Here is a 22199-nt window from a genome sequence, read left to right on the forward strand (position 1 = left end):
AAAACAAAGGTCAGGGCATACGTAGGAGTTTCCAAAGGGCACAGGCGAGGAAGGAATCTCTTACCTAAGAGGGTTTTCAAACATAACAGAAAATTGCTTAAGTGTGCTGGAAAATAAGGCAGCATGGCTGAGAGGCAGGAGGAGGAACAGGGTGACCCCGGGATCTGCCTTGGTGGTGGCAGCCCAGGCTTCTGCTGTGTGGTGACCGGTGATGCTGGCCCTGACCATGGCTGCAGTTAGCGCAGTCGCCACCAGGTGGCAAGCATGCCCATTTCTGAAGGATTGGCTGCTGGAACTCCGATAACTGGTTGGTTGATGGATTTGTTTATCCATCCATCATTTATTTATTCAATCGTCATTCATTCATAGCTTTGATTCCCCCCAAGCATTTTTGACTCATTTGTGCCAGCAGGCATTGTGCTAAGTGTGAGGAGGAACCAAAACTGGCCCAGAAGAGGTGGCTGTTGTGGGCACCTCACACGGCCCTCCCTGCTCAGCAGCCCCGCGGGGGTGCCGGGACCAGAGTGGGCCATGGCGGCCAGGTACCTGTGGGTCAGTCCTGCAGCTGGCGGGGCCTGCCTGGATCGGATCCCACGGCAGCCACTCGGGCTAGCGCCCCCTGCCCTCCGTTCTGCCGCGGAGCCAGCGGGCAGTGGGCCCTGAGAGAGGTTTGGCTGGCCTCCCATGCTGGGCTCAGGCCGCCCGCAGTGGGGCTCAGGTGTAGCCGCACAGTGGTCCCTGGGGCTGAGGTTTTCTCCGTCTCTGTTCTTCCTCCAACCAGGCTCAACCTCAAACCGCGAGTCCACCCCTCTGCCCCCCTTCTCCCTTCCCTCTGCTGTGTTCTGCAGCGTTTCTCAGACGTGTACCTCTCCAGGGCAGAAAGTGGATCCCTGGAACAGGACTGGGTCCCGGGGCCTCAGGGTCACCGGATCCCTTCTGCTTTCCTCAAGCCTTGCTCCTGCCCCTCCCCTGCTTCCGGCTGTGAGGCCAGCGTTCAGCCAGAAGCATCCATGTCTTGGCTGTTGGCTCAGGCCCCACATGACGCATAGCCCCAGGAGGGCAGGGACCTCAGCTGATTCACTGTTGAAGCCCCAGGACCTTGCACAGTGCCTGCCACAGAGCAAGCCTCAACAAAGGTGGGCTGCATCACTCAAGGAAGGGGAGTGAATGCAGCTGTGCAAAGAGGAGGGCCACGAGCATCTATGGGAGGGCGGGGCAGGCGTGGATGCTGCAGGACACAGAGCGTGCCCACGCGCCTCGAGACTGCCCTGCGTTGAATTGGTGGAGCCCCTGGACCCGCTGCAGTGAGGACCATAGGAGCCCCAGTTTGCTCCATGGGACTCTAAATCCAGCAGGGGTGGAGTCATTTTTTGGGGCCCCCAGAGGACTTCCTTGGCCAGCAGCTGCAGTGCCCAGTCCTCCAGGAGAGTGTCAGCTGCCACTCTGTATTGCTTCCCTCCTCCCCTCTCCTGCTGCCCCAGCTTCCCTGGCAACTGGGGACACTGCCCCCCACCCCAACTACCAACCCAGGCCCCGTGCCTTCTGACTCACAGCAGCTCAACAGGAAAGCATCTGATCATGCCCACAGCCCTGGCATCTGGCCCACAGGAGTGGCACCCCTCCCCAAGACCTTCCACACAGTTTCTATATTAGGGTAATGTCCATTGAAATCTCTCCACCCCACCCCCAAGAAACCCCCCTGTGATACGTGGGGATGGCATAGCGCCCCGCCGCGCACTGTGCCAGGTGGAGTGGGAGTCCTGATCCTACCGGCTCATCACATTCCGCACATTCCCAGTGGGCAGGGTGGAGGAGGGGCTAGCCAGGGAGGAAGAATGCCGCTTGCCTCTGACATCCTGTGTCTGGGTTTGCTTCATCCCTACCCTCCCCGCCTGGGCTCAGCTCCCCTCCATGTGCCTCCTGGCCCCTCACACCTTGGACCCCCTGTCTAGCTCCCGCCTCTCAGGGCTGTCTTCCCTTTTCTGACCCGTCCTTCCTCTCCATTTTCTCCTCTCTCGCTCAGCCCTCTCCTCTCTGTCATCCTGGAGTCTGTGGTGAGAATTGGGGAGACCAGGCTGGGTTCTACACAGGGCCACTGTTCCTGTCCTAGACAGCCAAGCACGCTGGGTTTGGTATGGCCACAGCTCTGCGCCATCTCCTTGTGCATCCAGGACTTGCCCTCTCTGGCCATGGGCTCCTCCTGGGAGCGCTGGGCTCCCAGGGTCCCAGTCCTGATATCTAAGCTCCTCCCAAGGGCCTTAGTGGGGATGGAGCAAACCCCAATGGTCCAGGTCTCCATGCTGCCCTGGGGAGATTTCTCCCCAAATCCTCCTTCCAAATGGCGCAGGACTAGATTTGAGGGTCAGCTGCTCACCTGCCTCCCACCCCACCTGGACCCCGCTCCTCTCTTGTTGGAGGAGGGGCTGCCCACCTATCTTCTTTACGCACATCTGTGGGCATAGAGTCCAGTACCTGCACAAAGTTGTCCCGTTCCTGAAATACCTACATGCCCCTCCCTCTGCCCTCTGGTCACCTCCCAGCTCCTGACCACAGTGTGGTGGCCGAAGTGGAGCTGGGCTCCAGGAACCTCGAGTTCCAGTCCTGGCTCTGCCACTCACTTGCTGTGGGACCTAAGCTAGTCACCACCCTGCTCTGAGCCTCAGCGCCCGGGGGAATGACAGGAATGGACCGGTAGCCTCATGCTCCAGAGCCAAAGGGGATACCCAGCAGCCCCAGACCAGACAGATGTTCTGACCAGGTTCTGATGGAGGACATAGAGGGAGTCACCAGAGAGGTGTTCCCCTTTGGAGACAACTCTGTTTTGTTTATTTCTTTTCTTTTATTTTTATTTATTTATTTATTTATTTATTTTTGAGACAGAGTCTTACTTACTCTGTCGCCCAGGCTGGAGTGTAGTGGCACAATCTTGGCTCACTGCAACCTCTGCCCCCCAGGTTCAAACGATTCTCCTGCCTCAGCCTCCCGAGTAGCTGGGATTACAGGCACCTGCCACCACGCCCAGCTAATTTTTTGCATTTTTAGTAGAGACGGGGTTTCACTATGTTGGCCAGGCTGGTCTAGAACTCCTGACCTTGTGATCCGCCCGCCTTGGCCTCCCAAAGTGCTGGGATTACAGGCATGAGCCACCGCCCCTGGCCTGTTTATTTCTATTTTTATTTTTAAGAGATGGAGTCTTGCTCTGTTACCCAGGCTGGAATGCAGTGGTGCCATCATAGCTGACTGCAGCCCTGAGCTACTGGGCTCAAGTGATCCTCCCACCTTGGCCTCCCAAAGTGCTTGGATTATAGGCAGGGTCCAGCTTCTGCTTTGCTTTTTTTTTTTTTTTTTTTTGAGATGGAGTCTCGCTCTGTTGCCCAGTTGGAGTGCAGTGATGCGATCTCAGCTCACTGCAACCTCCGCCTCCTGGGCTCAAGCGATTCTAGTGCCTCTCAGCCTCTGGAGTAGCTGGGACTACAAGTACACGATGCCCAGCTAATTTTTGTATTTTTAGTAGAGACGGGGATTCGCCATGTTGGCCAGGCTGGTCTCTAACTCTTGGCCTCAAGTGATTTGCCGTTCTCAGCCTCACAAAGTGCTGGGATTACAGGCGTGAGCCACCACGCCCGGCACTGTTTTGCTTTTTAATTGAGCAAGGGGCAGGCCACTCCCAGGGGTTCCCCAACCTCAAACCACTGCTCCCTATCCCAGCCCCTCAGACCCTTCCCTTATCAGCAAGGTATGTCTGAAAAAGTAGTACTATGAAGATTATCTGAAATACACACACACACACTCCATTAGGTTGAGTGGTGAAATATTCAAAGCTTTCTACTACGATCAGGAGGCAGCTGAGGAGCCCACTGTTACCACTCCATCCAGCACTACCCTACAAGGGAGGCCTCAGGCAAGGGAATAAGGCACAAGAAACATTGTGAGAATTGTAAAGGGAGAAAGAAAACTGCCAGTATTTAGATGACATAGTGGCCCATAGACAAAATCCCCCAAAATATACAGACAAGCTGTTAGAATAAATAAGTAAATTGAGTAAGCTCACTGGATACAAAATCAGTATAAAAAATCAAATGTTGCTGGGGTAGGCAAAGATTTCTTTTTTTTTTTTTCCTTTAAATAGAGATGCGGTCTCACTATGTTGCCTAGTCTGGCCTTGGACTCCTGGGCTCAAGCAATCCTCCTGCCTCAGCCTCCTGAATAACAAGATTTCCTAAATAGGACACAGAAAGTACTAACCATAAAGGAAAAAACTTGATAAATTTTTCTCCATTGAAATTAGAATTACTAAGCCGGATGTGGTAACCCATGTCTGTGGTCCCAGCTAGTAGAGAGGCTGAGGCAGGAGGATTCCTTGAGCCTAAGAGTTTGAGTCCAGCCTGGGCAACATAGTGAGACCCTGTCTCTAAAAGTGAAAAAAAAAAAAAAAAAGGAACGAATCAAATGTTTTTCTACCAATGTACAATTAGGGAAAGGAATTAAAAGGACAACATCATTTATACATCATAAAAATATCAAATACCTAAAAATAAATCTAACCCAAACAGTGAAAGCTCCCTCACTACACAGAAAACTTCAAAACATCTTTGATAAATACTTAAAAATATCTAGGCCAGGCATGGTGGCTCATGCCTATAATCCTAACCCTTTGGGAGGTGGAGGCGGGCAGATCACTTGAGCCCAGGAGTTTGTGACCAGCCTGTGCAACATAGTGAAACCCCATCTCCACAAAAAATAGAAAAATTAGTCTGGTGTGGTGGCGTGTGCCTGTAAGAGGCTGAGGTGGGAGAATCACTTCAGCGCAGGAGGTCGACACTGCAGTGAGCCATGACTGTGCCACTACAGTCCAGCCTGGGTGACAGAGTAAGATCTTGCCTCAAAAAATAAAAAAATTTAAAGATAATCTAAATTAGTGTTCATGGATTGGAAAGCTCCACCTTGTAAATCCTCCCCAAATCAATCTATAGATTCAATGCAATTCCAATCAAAATCCTGGCAGGAATGTGTGTGTGTGTGTGTGTGTGTGCAGAAATCGATAAGTTGATTCTAAAATTTGTATGGAAATGGAAAGGATCAAGAATAGCCAAGACTTTCTTCAAGTAGAGCACAGCTGTAAGACTTCCAGTACTAGATATTAAGACAACATGGTATTAGTGCAAGGACAGAATAGAGAGCCTGTGGGACAGAATAGAGAGCCTTGAAGTGAATCCACCCAGATGTGATTATTTGATTTCTAACAAAGATGATACTGCTCAGCTATACTGGGGAAAGGATAGTCTTTCCAATAAATGGTGCTGGGCAATTGGATATTCATGTGGAAAAAAGGTATCTTGATCCCTATGTCACATCATACACAAACATAAAATTCTACATGGAATATATATCTAAATATAAAAGGTAAAACCACTAGAAAAAAACAGAATATATTCATGACCTTGGGTAGGCAAAATTTTGTTGTTGTTTGTTTGTTTGTTTGTTTGTTGAGATAGGGTCTTGCTCTGTCACCCAGGCTGGAGTGCATTAGTGCAATCCTAGCTCGCTGCAGCATCAACCTCCCAGGCTCAAGCAATCTTTCCACCTCTACCTCAGCCTCCTGAGTAGCTGGGACTATAGGCAGATGCCACCATGCCAGGCTAATTTTTGTATTTTTTTTTTGTAGAGACTGGATTTCACCACATTGCTCAGGCTGGTCTCGAACTCCTGGGCTCAAGCGATCCTCCTGCCTCAGCCTTCTGGGTAGCTAAATTTCCTAAACAGGACACAAAAAGTTCTAGCCATAAAGAAAAAAAACTTGATAAATTATTCTCCATGAAATTTAGAACTTCTAAGCCGGGCACTGTGGTGTGTGCCTATAGTCCCAGCTACTTGGGAGATTGAGTCAGAAGGATTACCCGAGGCCACGAGTTCAAGGCTGCAGTGAGCTATGATTGTGCCGCAGCACTCCAGCCTGGGTGAGAGAGCAAGACCCTATCTTTATAATCAAAATAAAATAAAATTAGAACTTCTGTTGATCAAAAGTCACCATTAAGAAAGTGAAAAGGGGCCGGGCATGGTGGCTCACGCCTGTAATCCCAGCACTTTGGGAGCAAGGCAGGTGGATCACCTGAGGTCAGGAGTTCGAGACCAGCCTGACCAACATGGTGAAACCCCATCTCTACTAAAAATACAAAATTAGCTGGGCGTGGTGGTGCATGCCTGTAATCCCAGCTAGTTGGGAGACTGAGGCAGGACCTCCTTGAACCTGGGAGGCAGAGGTTGCAGTTAGCCGAGATCGCGCCATTGCACTTCAGCCTGCGCAACAAAAGCGAAACTGTCTCAATAAATAAATAAATAAATAAATAAATAAAAAGAAAGTGAAAAGGAAAGCTGCAGAGTTGCAGGAGAAATTTGCACCACAAAAGGCTTGTATCCAGAGCATATAAAGAACACTAATAGATCAACAGGAAAGAGACAGATAACTCAGTAGAAATGGGCAGGCAACGTGAACAACCCCGCCACAATAAGGCTTTCCAAATGCCCTGTAGTCATATGGAAAGACGCTCGATATCATAAGTCACTAGGGAAATGCAAAAGCTACAATGAGCTAAAATGAAAAAGACTGACTTCTGAAGATTGGCAGGGGTGTGCAGCAAATGGGGCTCTTGTACCAGCTGGCAGGAGCGTGGGTTGGCACAACCGCTTTGGAAAACTTTATGACAGCACCAACTAAAGCTAAGCATACGCAGCCCCTATGACTAGCAAGTCCATATCTGGGCCTGTATCCAACAGAAAAGTATTCATTGTGCCCCAAAAAACATGCAAAAGAATGTTCACCACAGCACTATTGTCAACAGTCCTAAACTGAAAAAATCCAGATGTCCATCAGCAGTAGAATGAATAAATAAATGGTGGCGTATTCATACGAGGGTGTCCAGCAATGCAAAGAAACAAACTGTAAGTACAAGAAACAAGATGGGCGAATGTCATAGGCTTAATGTTGAGCAAAAACTGCCAGACACAAAAGAACACATATTCTACGATTCTGCTGATGAAAAGTTAAAAAACCAGCAAAACGAACCTATGGTGGTAGAAGTCAAGATGATTGCTACCTTCTAAGAAGGAAGAAATTGGGAGGAGATATAAAAGGGCTTGGGGGATGCTGGAAATATATTTCCCAACCTGGGTTCTGGTTACACAGGTGTGTCCATTTGGTGAAAATCCATCCACTTTTCTGTCTATGCGTTACACTTCAATTAAATATTTCCATTAAAATAAAATAAAATGGTGGCCCAGAGAGACTCATTAACTTGCCCAGAGTCACGCAGTTCTTACGCAGGAAGTTAAAAGTCTTAGGTTCTTATTCCTTCTTCGTTCCTCACTCTGTAAGGTTCTGGGCAAGCGATCTCTTTCTGGGGTTTACTTTCCCCAACTGTGTGGAATAGAAAACACACACACATGCGCACACACACGCACACACACACGTTATTGCAAAAGCTGGCAGCAGAACTAGGAAATACCTTGCTGGGCTCTCTTGGGATGTGAAACAGAGAGAGAGAGAGAGAGAGAGAGAGAGAGAGAGAGAGAGAGAGAGAGAGAAAGGATCTATCTAACTAATAGCTTGGGAGAACTCTCGGTTTCAGGAGACCACTCAGGAGAGAATTCCTGAGGACAGATGTGGAGAGAGAGAGACAGACAGATAGAGATAGAGACGAAGAGAGATTGAAAACCAAGACAATAAGTGGTAGGCAACCAGAGGGAGGTGGAAACATGGGCTTGGGAGCTGGGTGGAAAAGTAGCCCCTTCTTCTCCATCACCCCCATCCCTCAGGAATGATCCCCCACCCTCACTGCCTTGGGTGAAGAGTATTTAGGGAGGAATTAAAGGGAAGGGGGGCTGCATTCCACACCTGGGCTGACACAGTTCGGAGCAAACAGCCCACAGGTGAGAGGCAGAGGGCAGTGGGAATGCAGCAAGGACAGGTCAGGGAGGCCGGGGTGAGGGCAACACTCAACGCCACTCGAGTATGTGTTGTTTTCTTTGAGCCAGACTCTCACTCCGTCACCAAGGTTGGAGTGCAGTGGCGCAATCTCAGCTCACTGCAACCTCCACCTCCCTTGTTCAAGTGATTCTTCTGCCTCAGCCTCCCGAGTAGCTGGGACTACAGCCACCCGCCACCATGCCTGGCTAATTTTTGTATTGTTAGTAGAGACGAGGTTTTGCCATGTTGGCCAGGCTGATCTCAAACTCCTGACTTCAAACTCCAGACCTCAAGTGATCCGCCCGCCTTGGCCTCCCAAAATGCTGGGATTCCCACTGCGCCTGGCCTGGGTGTGTCTTCTAAATGTGAGGGTGGAAGGAGAGCCTGCAGGTTTGGAGGACTCAGGTACCCAGGTGACGGAGCCTTGGTTTTCCCACAAAAGCAGCAGGGGAAATTAGATGTGGTTTAGGGCCAACCCAGCCCAGCGAACTTTCTCCAAGCCCCTGCCCACACTAGCTCAGGGCTGCAGAAGGTCAGCCCCGCTGGCCAGACATGAACACAAACTCATGGAGAATGTTGGAGGCCAAAGGCCGAAGTGGCTAGAAAAAGCCATGGTGATTTTCCTTACTGACATCTGGAGGCTTGAAGGAGAGCTCTCCCCACCCCACCCATTCCCCACCCAGACTTGTCCTTGGATGGAAGGATTCTGACCCCCAAAAGAGGCAAGGGATTCCACGCAGGTCCCAGTCCCCAAGGATAGAATCATCTGGCCCTGAGCAGCCAGGAACTAGTGGCCTGCTGATTGCAACACATCAAGGAGCAGCTGATACTGAAGGCCAGGGAGGTGAGGGGGGGGAAGGAGGTTTACCCATAATATCATCTGCCTCTCACCATTTGGAGGCGGCAAAGATTCTGAAGGCTTTGATCGGGCTGGGCCTCACCTCTGACTGAGCTGTCGCCAGCATGACCGCAGTCCACCAGCAGGAAAACTGCAGGAGGTGGCACTTTAGTGACTGTAGTGCACAGCTGAGGCCTGGAGAGGCTCCACCACATACCCAAAGCTGCACAGCTGGGAGGTCATGGGCTGGGGGGAGAAGAGGCCAGCACTCTGGGGGAGCTGGCAGGAGTGCTAGGAGCTGCTTTGCTCCTGGTGGTGAAGGAGGCTCCAGGCTGGGGGAGGAGCAGTGGTGAACATAGCCCCTAAGAGAAATGGGAGACTGCTTTGATGGAACCCTCCTCATCAAGGCTTATCTCCAGATGCCACCTCCTCCAGCCAGCCTTCCCAGATGTCCTTATCAAAGAGGCTGTCTCCTTCCTCATCTCCATCCCCAACCCCCCAGCACACAGACCATACTGAGTCCTGTCTCCCAGCCTGAGTGGGGCCCTGCCCTGCCTGTCTCCCCCGAGCACTGACTGGTATCTGAGTAGCAGGGTGGATGGGCTCTGCAGGCTGTCCTCCTCAGGGAGCCTCACATGGACTTTGAGCAGGGTAGCTGCTCACCAGCACTTAGGCCAACCAGAGAAGAGCTCCATGCACCTCTGCCCAGCCCCAAGCTCTCCTTGGGAAAGCTCCATGACAGGTGAGGTCAGCCCAATCCAAGGCTTCAGAATCTCTGCAGTCTCCAAATGGTGAGAGGCAAATGAGATCGTGTGGGTAAACTTTTCTCCCTGCTCATCTCCCTGGCCCGCAGTATCAGCTCCCCGCAGCCTGCTGCCTCCTAGAAGACTTCCTGAGGGAGGGAAAGACGGTGGCAGAGAGTAGGAGCCAGGGACAGACAGAGGATCTTCCAGAAGCTGGGAGAGGAAAAGGAGAGCTTGGGGCTGGGCAGGGGTGTTTAGCTCTCCCATGATGGCCGCACTGCCCTCCAAAGCCCTGATGCCAGGGTGGACCTGCCCTCCCTGCCCTGGCTCAGGACTTGCAAAAGGTGTGGAAGGACCAGCCGGTTGCCCCATCCTGGATGGGCAAGAATTTGGGACCCCTCTCTGCCTCTCAGCTCCCACTCTCCCCTGTGATCCAGTCCCAGCCTGGAAAGCCCTGTTCAGGGGAGGAGAGGTGGTGAGTGAGTAGGGGTCCCGTCCTTTACAAGAGCCCTTTGTCCCAAGGGGCCTAGAGTCTCTCAGGCTGACGGCCCCTCCCGGGCTGGCCTGGAGGCAGAATGAGGACTCCCCAGGGGGCAGATGAGACAGTGTCCCTCATTGTCCTCAGGTGCCTTATGGGGCAAGGGAGCAGGTGTTTACCGACTCAGGAGAGGCTTGGTTGAAGTCCAGGTTTATCTGCTTAAACCACGTCGAGGGGGAGAGGGAGGCTGTTTGTTCCTACGTTTCCACCCCAAACCTCCCAGGGCAGGGGTGGGGGCCTGCAAAGGGCAGGGAAGGCTGAGGGCCTGGGCTCTTGACACTCCAAGGACGTCAGCCACTGCTTCACCTGGCCTGGTTCTCTTCCTCCCACCAAACCTCTTTTCAGTGAGTGGCACCTGGATTCCTGTCCCACCCTGTCTGTGCAGACATGAGAGATGAAGAAAGAGGGGGACAGAGAGACAGAGGGAGACAGGAATAGGAGAAGGAGGTGGGTCATGGAGGCAGAGTCGGTGGAGCAGGGGAGAAGACTCCAAGAGGGACTTGGGCAGGGTCCTGGGAGTGGGGCCCGGCTGCCCAGCTTGGGAGGGGCAGCACAGGGCTGATTGTCCAGGGGCCGCTGCAGCCTCCCCAAACCCTCCAGTAGTTTGGGTATGGGATGTGGCTGTGTGCCCTGGGAGGTGGCTGGCGGGCCCAGGGCAGTGTCCCCACTCCTGTCAAGCTCCTTGAGTATTTTTTCCTGTCGGCTCTGCCTCTAGGGACCGCTTCCCGCCCAGGATGTAAGGCAGGCAGCAGCTTGTCTGACCCAGCCTGGCCCTGGGGGAGACCCCATTCTTGGTGGCTGGATAATCTGAGCCAGGGAGACAAGAGAGACTGCTCCCACCCCCATCTCAGCAGCCTGGAAGAGCAAGGCAAGAGAGACTGCTCCCCGCCCTTTGCTTCTCTACCTCTCGTTGGAGAGCAGGCCATAAGCATCTGGGGTGCAGCCAGATTCCTGCCAGGCGGGTGGGCTGGGGGAGGGATCGGGGCAGGCAGCGGGCTACTGTTCTCCTGCACCGCCTCCCAGGCTCCTGCCTCCTCTGGCCACCCCTCCCTGTGTCCAAGGCCTGCTCGCCTGAGTGAGACATGAGTAATGGACACAGCACAGGGCCTGACCCAAGGGCCTTGGCTGCAGGCCCAGCACTAGGAACACTGTAAATATTTGGGGGAATTAATGATGCTCCTTCTCCCCAGCCAACTCTCTCCTGCAACCCAGAAGGCTTATGGGAGGAGGCCACAGTGTCCATCCCTCTGCCTCCGAGCTGAGACAACATTAAGGATATAGGGGTCCAGACTGCTGGGTCCTTGACTGGGTTTGGCCACAGACAGGAGAACCATACTTGTAATGTGGCTGCACCATCTCAGCCATCCCCCCGGCCTCCAGGCCAGCCAGCATCTCCTCCAGCCTGGAGATCCCAAGCCTTCTCTCTCAGGCACAGAATCCTTTGTTAATGGATGTTCTTTCTGAAATCTAGCTTCTGCCCTTCCAGGAACCCCTTCCATGGTTCTGGGATGGCAATGAATGGGTCTGCCCTTTAGGTAGTTAATGGTGCTCCTCACCCTGCTCTGCTGCATCCCCTCCTGGAGAGCTTCTGCCTGCTGTCACCCTGTCCAAGGGCCCAACCCTGGTGGATATCCCTAAACTTCTTGGGGTCCCCTTCCCTGCCTTAGCAGAAGCCTGGAGCAGGCATGGCCTCTCTACCTTTCCTGACATTTCCCCCTCTCCTGTGGCCTTAGATTGAGACAAGGATGTCGTTTGAAAGAAGTCTCTGAACACTTACCATACCAGGCAGCTGGGAATTTTGAGGTCATCTCAAGGTGCTCCCTGTCCCCACTCCTAGGGCCCTGAGAGAGGCTGTGGATGCAGGGCTGCGCTGGGTTGGGCTCTGGAGCAGGAAAGCTGGAAGAAGGCAGTTGTATGTGCTTCTCCAATCTTACTCCCTTGTCCAGAACTTGATTTCAAATCTAGTTTCATGAGACTCCTTTGACCCACTTCCTTGGATAATATTGAGCAAGGTATTGAAATCCTCTAAGGCTCAGTTTCCTCATCTGTCAAATGGGGAAATGAGGATTTTTTTGAGCATCAGATGAGATATGCATGCAAAGCACTTAGCATAAGGTAGAATATGTAGTAAGTACTCAACAAATGGTAACCAGTATGACTAAGACTTTTAAGACTTAAAGGCCAGTTTTCCTTCTCCAAGTTCCCTCAGCTCCAAGCTCCAGGTGTGTTTCTCATGGCCTGGGAGAAACAGAGCTGTTCTGGAAGAAGGCACCTTGGGACGGGACAAGACACTCTGCTCCAGCCTGACTGGCCCTGATCAGGCCAACCTGCTTCACCCACTCTTGCCCCCACTGCCAGGATTATCATAGGCCCCCAGATCCGGTGCCTTCCTCCCACACCCACCAGCCTGGCCAGGCTGGTGCCTATCCCACTTCCAGGAAGAGGGACATAAACACAGCTGGGGTGGACGAGGGCCCCCAGCATCCTCTCTGGAAGCAGTGAAGCAGTCAGGGGCTCCAGGATGGATCAGGGAGAATCTGGGAATTCCTAGGACTCAGGTCAGGGAGTCCAGGGAGAGGAGAAGCTCCCGTTCCTAGAGCTGAGGAAAGAAGTGGCAGGGTAGTCCCCTCTGAACACTGTGTTTGGATCCCTACCACCTCTGCCTCCATATCCGGTGGGTGTGAAGTGGTATCTCATTATGGTTTGAATTGCATTTCCTTGACGACTAACGATATTGAACATCTTTTTGTATGTCTATTGGCCATTTGTATATCTTCTTTAGAGAAATGTCTATTCAGAATCCTTTTTAACCATTTCACTGGCACGAAGCCACTAGGCTGTCCTCCCGCTTTCATGTCCCCACCACAGCCTGGCTTCCCTCTAGGTGCAGCTCTACCAGGCCCTTTCCCTGCTTGAACCTTCAATGGCTCCCCACTGCTTGCAGCCAAACTTGCTAAAAAGTGTGAAAAGTGTTTTGTGAGAGGTTGGAAGAGGTTCTTCTGAAGATGATTCCATGGTTGAACCATGGTCAAAGGTTTGGAAAATGATACATACACTAACCCACTCCAGGACTTTGCCAATGCATATTAGCATATAAAAGGCTCAGAGAAGTCCCAAAGCAAACAATCCCCTCTTTTTTTCTTGTTTAGAGACAGGATCTTGCTATGTTGCTAAGATGACGCTGGATTCAAACTCCTAGGCTCAAGGGATCCTCCTGCCTCAGCCTCCTGAGCAGCTGGGACTACAGGCCCGGGCCACCATGCCTAGCAACAATCCTCTGCTTAACCCAGCATTTCCCAAGCTGTTTTGATGATAGATTCACACCCCCTACTTGTATTTATTTTTTACAGCTTTATGGAAATATAATTCACATGTCATAGAACTCATTCATTTAAAGTGTACAGTTTCGCCAGGCATGGTGGCTCACACCTGTAAGCCTAGAATTTTGAGAAGCCAAGGCAGGAGGATCACTTGAGACCAGGAGTTGGAGACCAGCCTGGGCAAAATAATGAGATGCTGTCTCTACCAAAAAAAAGTATTTAATTTTATTTTAAGTTCTGAGGTACATGTGCAGGTTTGTTACACACATAGACATGAGACATGGTGGTTTACTGCACCTATCACCTAAGTATTAAGCCCTGCATTAGCTATTTTTCCTGATGCTGTCCCTCCCCTCGCCCTCTCCCCTGCCAAGCCCCAGTATGTGTTGTCTCCCTCCCTGTGTCCATGTGTTCTCATTGTTCGTCTCCCACTTATGAGTGAGAACACATTAGGTTTCCTGTTCCTGTGTTAGTTTGCTGAGGATAATGACTTCCAGCTCCATTCATGTCCCCGCAAAGGACGTGATCTCATTCCTTTTCATGGCTGAATAGTATTCCATGGTGTATATGTACCACATTTTCTTTATCCAGTCTATCACCGATGGGTATTTGGGTTGATTCCATGTTTTTGCTATTGTGAATAGTGCTGCAGTGAGCATATGTTTGCATGTATCTTTATAATATAATGGTTTATATTCCTTTGGGTATGTACCCAGTAATGGGATTACTGGGTCAAATGGTATTTGTGGTTCTAGGTCTTTGAGGAATCGCCACACTGTCTTCCACAATGGTTGAACTAATTTACATTCCCACTAACAGTGTAAAAGCATTCCTATCTCTCTGGGACCTCACCAGCATCTGTTGTTTCTTAACTTTTTAATAATTGCCATTCTGACTGACATGAGATAGTACCTTGTTGTGGTTTTGTTTTGCATTTCTCTAATGTCAGTGGTGTTAAGTTGTTTTTTGTTTTTTGAGATGTAATCTCACTCTATCACCCAGGCTGGAGTGCAGTGGTGCAATCCCAGCTCACAGTAACTTTCGCCTCCTGGGTTCCGGGTTCAAGTAATTCTCCTGCCTCAGCCTCCTGAATAGCTGGAATTACAGGTGTGTGCCACCACACCCAGCTAATTTTTGTATTTTTAGTAGAGATGGGATGGGGCCAGGATGGTCTTGAACTCCTGATCTCAGGTGATCTGCCTGCCTTGGCCTCCCAAAGTGCTGGGATTATAGGCATGAGCCACCACACCTGGCCCTCATGCACAGGTTTTTGTGTGAATACATGTTTTCATTTTTCATGTGTACATACGTATGAATGAAATTGCTGGGTCACATGGCAACTCTATGTTTAACCATTTCAGGAAATGCCAGACTATGTTTTGAATCGATTGCACCATTCTACCTTTCCCCCAGCACCGTTGAGGGCTCCAATTTCCCCACATCTTTGCTAACACTTTTTTTTCTTTTTCTGTTTCTTTTTTTTATTCTGAGATGGAGTCTTGCTCTGTCACCCAGGCTGGAGTGCAGTGGCACGATATTGGCTCACTGCAACCTCCGCCTCCTGGTTCAAGCAATTCTCCTGCCTCAGCCTTCCGAGTAGCTGGGAGTACATGCATGAGCCACCACATCTGGCTAATTTTTGTATTTTTAGTGGAGACGAGGTTTTGCCATGTTGGCCAGGCTGGTCTCGAACTCCTGGCCCTAGGTGATCCGCCCACCTCAGCCTCCCTAATTGCTGGGATTACAGGCATGAGCCACTGCACCTGGCCATTGCTAACAACTTTTATCTAACTTTTTGGTTCTAGCCATCCTTGTGAGTATGAGGTTGTATTTTATCATAGTTTTGTCTTGCATTTCCCTGATGGCTAATGGTATTGAGCATTTTTTAATGTGCTTATTGGCCATTTCTATATCTTCTCTAAAGAAAGGTCGGTCTATTCAGATCCTTTGCCCATTTTTAAATTGGGTCATCTTTTTACTACTGAGTTATAGGAGTTCTTTATATATGCTAGATACAAATCCCTGATCAGATATTTATCTTACAAATATTTTACTCCATTCTGTGGGTTGTCTATTTTGATAGAGTTCAGTTTATCTATTTTTTCCTTTGTTGCTTGTACTTTTGGTTTTATATCTAAGAAGCCATTGCCAAATCCAAGATCACAAAGATTTACTCCAATGTTTTCTTCTAAGAATTTTATAGGTTTAGGGCCCAGCGCGGTGGCTCACGCCTGTAATCTCAGCACTTTGGGAGGTTTAGGTGGGCAGATCACCTGAGGTCAGTAGTTCAAGACCAGCCTGGCCAACTTGGGGAAACCCTGTCTCCACTACAAATACAAAAATTAGCTGAGTATGTTGGTGCATGCCTGTAATCCCAGCTACTCAGGAGGCTGAGGAAGGAGAATCACATGAACCTGGGAGACGGAGGTTGTGGTGAGCCGAGATGGTGCCACTGCACTCCGGACTGGGCAACAGAGTGAGACTGCATCTCAAAAAGAAAAAAATAATTTAATAGATTTAGCACTTATATTTAGGGCTTTGATCCATTTTGAGTTAACTTTTGTATATGGCCTGAGGTAAGGGTCCACTTCATTCTTTTGCTTGTTGATATCCTTCTTGTATCTTTACAAAATATCCAATAGCATCTTATGGGACTCTGGTGCTCCAGGAAACACTAACTGGAAAATGTTGATGAGGTCCAAGTTTCTTAGTCAACACAAGGCATCTCACCATCTGCCCCCAACTTGTCTTTTCCCAATTTCTCTGGACTGGCCTCTTGCTATTCTCTAGACTTGCACCGGGGTTTTCCTGTCTCTGTGCCTTAGTGTGTACTGTTCTGTAGGTCACTCCCACGCACACATCTTTGCCTGCTGAAATTCATTCATCCTCCAAGGAAAAATAATAGCTAATATTTATTGAGTGTTCAAGACGTACCTGACATTTTTTTCTAAGAACATTATTTGTGTTATCTCATTTAATTCTTGCAGTGACTCTATGAGGCATATACTCCTATTATACCCATTTTACAGATGAGGAAATCAGTGTTCAAGGTGATCAGGTAACTTGCCCATGGTTATGCAGTTAGCAAGTGATGGGGGAAGAATTTGAACCCAGGCAATCTGACTTGAGAGTCCCTGCTTTTAACAAATCACTACTCTCCTACCAGTCTTTGCTTATCTCTGCAACTCTGTCCACCACTTTATTTGTACTAAAGTATATTTACTGAGCTTCACCCAGTATTTTACTGAAAGAACAAGTTAGTGAGTGAGTAAAAGAATGAATAGAACTGGATTGTCAGAGTTGGAAGGGATCCAAGTAGTGGTATGCATTCCAGCATAATGACCTGACTTGATGGATGGGGAGGTCTCTGCAACTCCTCCAGGGTCATAAGGTAGGGACAGAGGTGACATCAGGGCCCAGGTCTCTGCCCCTTCTGCCGGGCAGTGTTGACGCCATGCTGGCTGCACCTCCATGCAGCATATTACTTGAGTATCTCCTTTGTTTCAGACTCCAATCTGAACTCAGTCCGAGGCAAACAGGACAAGACCCCTGGGACCCTGCCCTGTCTCCCTCCTCCAGGGAAGGAGGCTTAGGCCCGGCAGAGCTGCTCTTGGGCTTCAAGACCCTCCTGGTTCCTCCCCCATGCAGGGCCATCCCTGGGGTCTCAACCTAGCTTTCTCTGTTTCCTTGGAGGGAGCATCGGGAATGAAAGGCGGCAGGCAGCCAGGGGCACAGGGTGGGGCGGAGGAAGGGCCCCAGGTCCGGTTCATTTCCTGGCACCGTTGTTTGCTGCATGCCCCTGGCTTCTGGTGGCTGTTTCCACCACGCCCACAGTGTCCCTCCCTGGCTGAGTGGGCAGCTGGCCTGGACTGGAATTCTCCCATATCCTCGGCCTCCGTCATCTCTCCGCTGGGGCCATTCTCGGAGCCCAGCAGATCTGGGGGAGAATTCTGCTCCTCGCACTGCGCATGACCTTGGGCATGTCACTTTGCCAGTCTGGGCCTTTGTTTCCTCTTCTGGAAAAGGGGAAAACATGACTGATCTCACAGGCTTGTCATGAAGAATCAAGGATAATATACATGAAGGCCTGGCACAGTAAAATTCCCAATAAAAACGACTATCCCTTTTTCTCTGCCTGCCTCTCCCAATTTCCCCCACTCTTCCAGGATGCCCACTTCCCCCTGCCTCCCCATCCCTGTGTTGGAGTCTCAGTCTGAGCCCTAGGTAGAGCCTTTTCTGGGGTCCTCTGTGATGGGAACACCTTCCCCAGGTGCTGATCCCTCTGCCAACTCTTGGGTACCCATAGAAACACACATGCCTCACAGTGATGGGACCTGAGAGGACCCACGGGGACATCGTAAGTGTTTTAATGGACCAGAGGAGGTTCAATTTGACCACATCATTGATCTCCATCCAAGCAGAACACTGTAGTAGCAGCCATTGGCAGGGTGGAGAAAGAGGGTCTGAGCTGGCTTTCCTAGAGGTCAGAGCTCCTGGTGGAGAGACAGCTGCTGCCACGCCCTGCCACCATGGCCGCCATCATCCCAGTAGAAAATAGGCAAACAAGACAAGACCCCCGGGACCCTGCCCTGTCTGCCTCCTCCAGGGAAGGGGGTTTATTTTCTATTTATTTTACTATGTGCTGGGCACTGTCTGAGTCTTCATTTACTCTCCACAAGGGTTCTATGATTGGGGTGCAATTATCAACTCCATTTTACAGATAGAGAAATTGAGGCATGGAGAGCTGAAGCAACTTCACCCAAGCTAATAGGTGACCTAATGTGGCTCATGCTCCATCAGAGGGAGAAACAGACCTATGCTGAACTGGAAAGCATCGGCCAAGACTTGGGAAGCCTGGAAGTTGGTGGATTTCAGTTGGCCTTGAAGGAAGGGGAGCTTTCAACAAGCAAGAGGAAGCTAGAGTGTTGCAGGGAGAGGGCCCGCCAAGCAAAGTCCTGGAGAAAGTGGCAGGCAGGTGTTTGGGGCATGAAGACCTGCCTCACAGGCTGGGGTTGTGCAGAGAGTGGAGGACAGGGGCTGAAGGTGAGCCCTGAGAAGGCCTCATGGCACTGCACACCCACCGTCCCTGCCAGTGTGCAATCATGGCCTGCATCCTGGCCCCACTCCCAGGCCATGGGGTCCCTCCCACCCCAATGCACATTAGCCTCTAACTGGCCTCTGGTCATCTCTGAGCCATAGTTTCTTTATTTGCAAAGAGGTAATAATAGCCATGCCCAACTCTCAGGGCCGTGGGGAGGGTTAACTGAGCCATCCATGGGAAGCACCTGGCGTTGGGCCCAGCACACGGTGCCCTTCCCTTCCCTTCAAGTCAATCATCTCCTGGCTCCAGGAGGCCATCTTATTCCCTGATCTGACCCCACTCAAAACCCAACCCTGGATATCTTACAGAACCAAGCCCAAAGCTCAGCTCCCCAGCCCAGAGTTTGAGGTCCTTTGCAAACCACCTTGCTCACCTTCAGGTGCAGAAAGGAGGGAGGGACTCTCAGAGAATGAATGAAGTAGGGACCACTGGAGCTGCAGACAGGGTCACCAAGAAGCTAGAATGAGAAGAGGGCTGGAAGGAAGAGCAGAGCTGAGGAACTAGAGCCCAGGGTGCAAGTGGTGAAAGGCCTATAGAAATTGGGGATTAGGGCCAAACAGGCTCACGTCTGTTATCCCAGCACTTTGGGAGGCTAGGGTGGGTGGATCAATTGAGGTGAGCAGTTTGAGACCAGCCTGGCCAACATGGTGAAACCTCATCTCTACTAAAAAAAATACAAAAATTAGCTGGGTGTGGTGGTGGGCCCCTGTAATCCCAGCTACTCTGGAGGCTGAGGCAGGAGAATCACTTCAACCCAGGAAGTGGAGGTTGCAGTGAGCCAAGATCACGCCACTGCACCCCAGCCCGGGTGACAGTGTCTATCTCAAAAAACGAAGAAAACGAAAGGGAAGGGAAGGGGAGGGGAAGGGGAAGAGAAAGGGGAAGGGGAACGGGAAGGGAAGAAATTGGGGATTAGGAGGGTTATCTTGGGTGAGCTTCCTGTGGGCCCAGCCTGACCGCACAAAGCCAGGCTGGCACAGCCTGGTCAACATCAAAGCCAAGGCCCCAGGGAAAGACCTCTAAGAATTTTCCTCTGTTCATGGGTTTAGCATGGACCACCTTGTGGTCCCTTTGGGCTTCAGTCCCCTTGTGTAGCTCCAACCCTATCCCAGGGTCTTTGGCAAATTGCCAGCTCCAGCTTCTAGGGCTTCTCCAGGCCCTAGAAGTGGTAGAGACTTCCTGGCTGTCCTTGCTGCTGCCCTCTTCCCATGTCCCCTGTATCCCACCTGCCACCAGCTCCTGCTTAGCCCCTCCCCTAAATGTCCCTCGAGCCTATCTACATTTCCACAGACCCTTACCCTTTCCCATTTTCACCCCCATATTAACTCCCAGGTGGATCTCCTTAACTCCCGATCAGAGGGAGCTTTGGACCCACAAAGGCTGTCGGCTCATTCTCATGCATGAATCCATCAGCTCCCCTCAGTTCCAAGGCCAGCAAGCCAAGGCCTAAACTCGGGCAGGCACCAGTGTTTCCTGAGCATGTCCCTATGTCCCTCATGTTGCTGTGCCGTGGTTTCTGCCCCACTGCCCTGCTCCTGTTGCATCTGGCTCCCCTCCCTTCTCTCTGCTGTGTGGTGGGCTGGGCTCTCACTCTGCCTCTGGGTCACACCTGTCAGAAATGCTGCCCAGGGTGGTTCTGCCATTGAGGGCGTGGCCCTGACACCCCCCAAGCCCTATCTGACTCCTCCACTCAGAGGGGTCCCTGACGTCCATGACAAGGTGGGTAAGGGGTCCTCCACAGGGAGAAGGCCAAGGTCTTGGGGGATTGTTTTCCGAGGACACGAAAGCCCCTTCATCATTGCCCTCATCCTGTTAACAGCCTGAGAAGCAGGTGCCACGGGCCTGGCTGGAACCCCTGCCCACCCCACCTGCCCCCACTAAATCATTCTTTATCCCAGGTCTTCCCCATGTTCTGGCCCTCCTGACCCCTGACCACCTTAATAGTTGCTTGACTCATTTGTACCTCGGGGCCAGAGTCTCTGTAGGCAATGCCGTCACTCTTGCCCCTTCCTGCCTGGGAGCACCCAGCGGTACTCTGCCAGGTAGGGCTCCTGCATTTAAACAGGAGCCTTCAGGGGGCAAGGGCCAAACCCATAGGAGGGCTGCCTAATAGTGAGCATGTCTGTGATCCTGGCAGGAAAGGAGAGAGCCATTGTGGGGATGGGGAACTTTTGTTGCCTCCCAGATCAAGCTCCCTAAGGGCGCCTTGCCCCGGGCATCAGACCTGGGGTCCCAAGAACAGGGCGTGTGCCTTCCCTCAGTCTACTCTAGGAGAGCTAACTCCTTAGTTTGGCTGGCGCTTGCAAGCAGGTTTCAAACCAGCAGTAATTAGTCCCACAGGGGTGAGGTCAGCAGTGAGGGGGCTTGTGGGAGCTGTGATGAGGGGTGAGGGCTGGGAGGAGGCTTCAGCCTGAGTTACTGAGGGCCTCAGTCCATTCAGAGCAGGCGAGGAGGAGGAAGTGAGTCAGTGGGCACAGCGATTCATGCCTTAGAATTCTGACTTTCTTTTTCAACCCACTGAGCCAAGACGTTTGTCCCAACAGGATCCTAGGGTGGGGGAGGGGACAGGAGGCAAGGGATATTAAAGAGACAGGGCTGGCCTCTTATTCACTTGCATTGGGCTCCTGTTTTAGTGCCATAGAGTACGTGGTGATGGAACTCAGCTGGACACACCGTGGTTGAAGACCTGCCATGTGACGGAGAAGCTGCCATGGGGGCTGGGAAACGCAGGGGTCAACACTGAGCATAACCACCACCACTTGGTGGGAGAGCAGCTGACTTCTGGGCCCCAGTTCCATTTCAACAAACCCATGAATTTGGCATCTTTATGTGGAATTTATAGATGAGGAAGCAGGTGAAGGGACTTGTCCAAGGTCACAGTCCCACTGGTCTAATCATACTGCCAGCCTGAGCGAGAAGTCAGTGCGAGTCCTGGACAACTCAAGAGTGACTAGGGATGGGGGTTGGCGTTGGGGTGGGAAAAGGCTTTACTGAGGAAGTAGAAGCTCACGAAAGATTTTGAAGAACAAGTGGAGATTTTCCAACTGAACAAGTGGGGAAAGGGCATCCCAACCAGAGGCACCGGCGCATGCAGAGGTTGGGTGGCATGGGCTGGCCTGGTGCTGTCGTGCCGGGCCTCTACTGATGGCACCAGGTTCAAGAGGCCGAGGAAGAGACCCAGAGTCCGTGAACGAGATATAGGGTTTGTGGGGAGCTTACATGCAGGGACAGTCCAGTGGCAGTGGGCCAGACAGAACCACAACCGCTTGAAAAATGCATGGCATTTATATAGCATTTTCACTTAGTACACTGCCCCAGCAACCTCTACCTGGCAACCCGCATTTAACCCAAAATAAAAGACCTCAATCCCCGGTCCCCTCCATGGCTCGAATTCCACGAGAGATGGGCCAGGGGCTTAGATGTTCCTCATAGATAAGGAATGAGTCTCTGGGTTGCCCACTCTCGGATTCCTTAGCTCCAAATTCCGAATGCAGATTCTTCTCAAGTTATTGCTGTCAGGTGTATCTGCCATGCAGGTGTGCTCGTGGAATCCTGCTGGGAGTGGGGACCAGGCACCGAGACAGAGGCTATTACAGGAGGAGCCCCTTGTTGAGGAAGAAGGGAAGATGCTAAGTACTTCTGGATACATGGAGTCCAAGGAGCCTGCGGCCAGCCAGAGGTGGCTGGCAAGAGTTA

General features: G+C 51.3%; 2 annotated features.

The window, feature by feature from the left end:
• Positions 7811-8607: an enhancer, noted in NCBI's record as "H3K4me1 hESC enhancer chr17:48111925-48112721 (GRCh37/hg19 assembly coordinates)". NCBI's record gives its function as "activates a minimal SCP1, AML or CMV promoter by ChIP-STARR-seq in naive H9 embryonic stem cells {active_cell/tissue: H9 hESC(naive)}" and the evidence as "EXISTENCE:reporter gene assay evidence [ECO:0000049][PMID:30033119]".
• Positions 21504-22133: an enhancer, noted in NCBI's record as "H3K4me1 hESC enhancer chr17:48125618-48126247 (GRCh37/hg19 assembly coordinates)". NCBI's record gives its function as "activates a minimal SCP1, AML or CMV promoter by ChIP-STARR-seq in primed H9 embryonic stem cells {active_cell/tissue: H9 hESC(primed)}" and the evidence as "EXISTENCE:reporter gene assay evidence [ECO:0000049][PMID:30033119]".

This window comes from Homo sapiens, chromosome 17 (genome assembly GCF_000001405.40).
Source record: "Homo sapiens chromosome 17, GRCh38.p14 Primary Assembly".
Classification (NCBI taxonomy): Eukaryota; Metazoa; Chordata; class Mammalia; order Primates; family Hominidae; genus Homo; species Homo sapiens.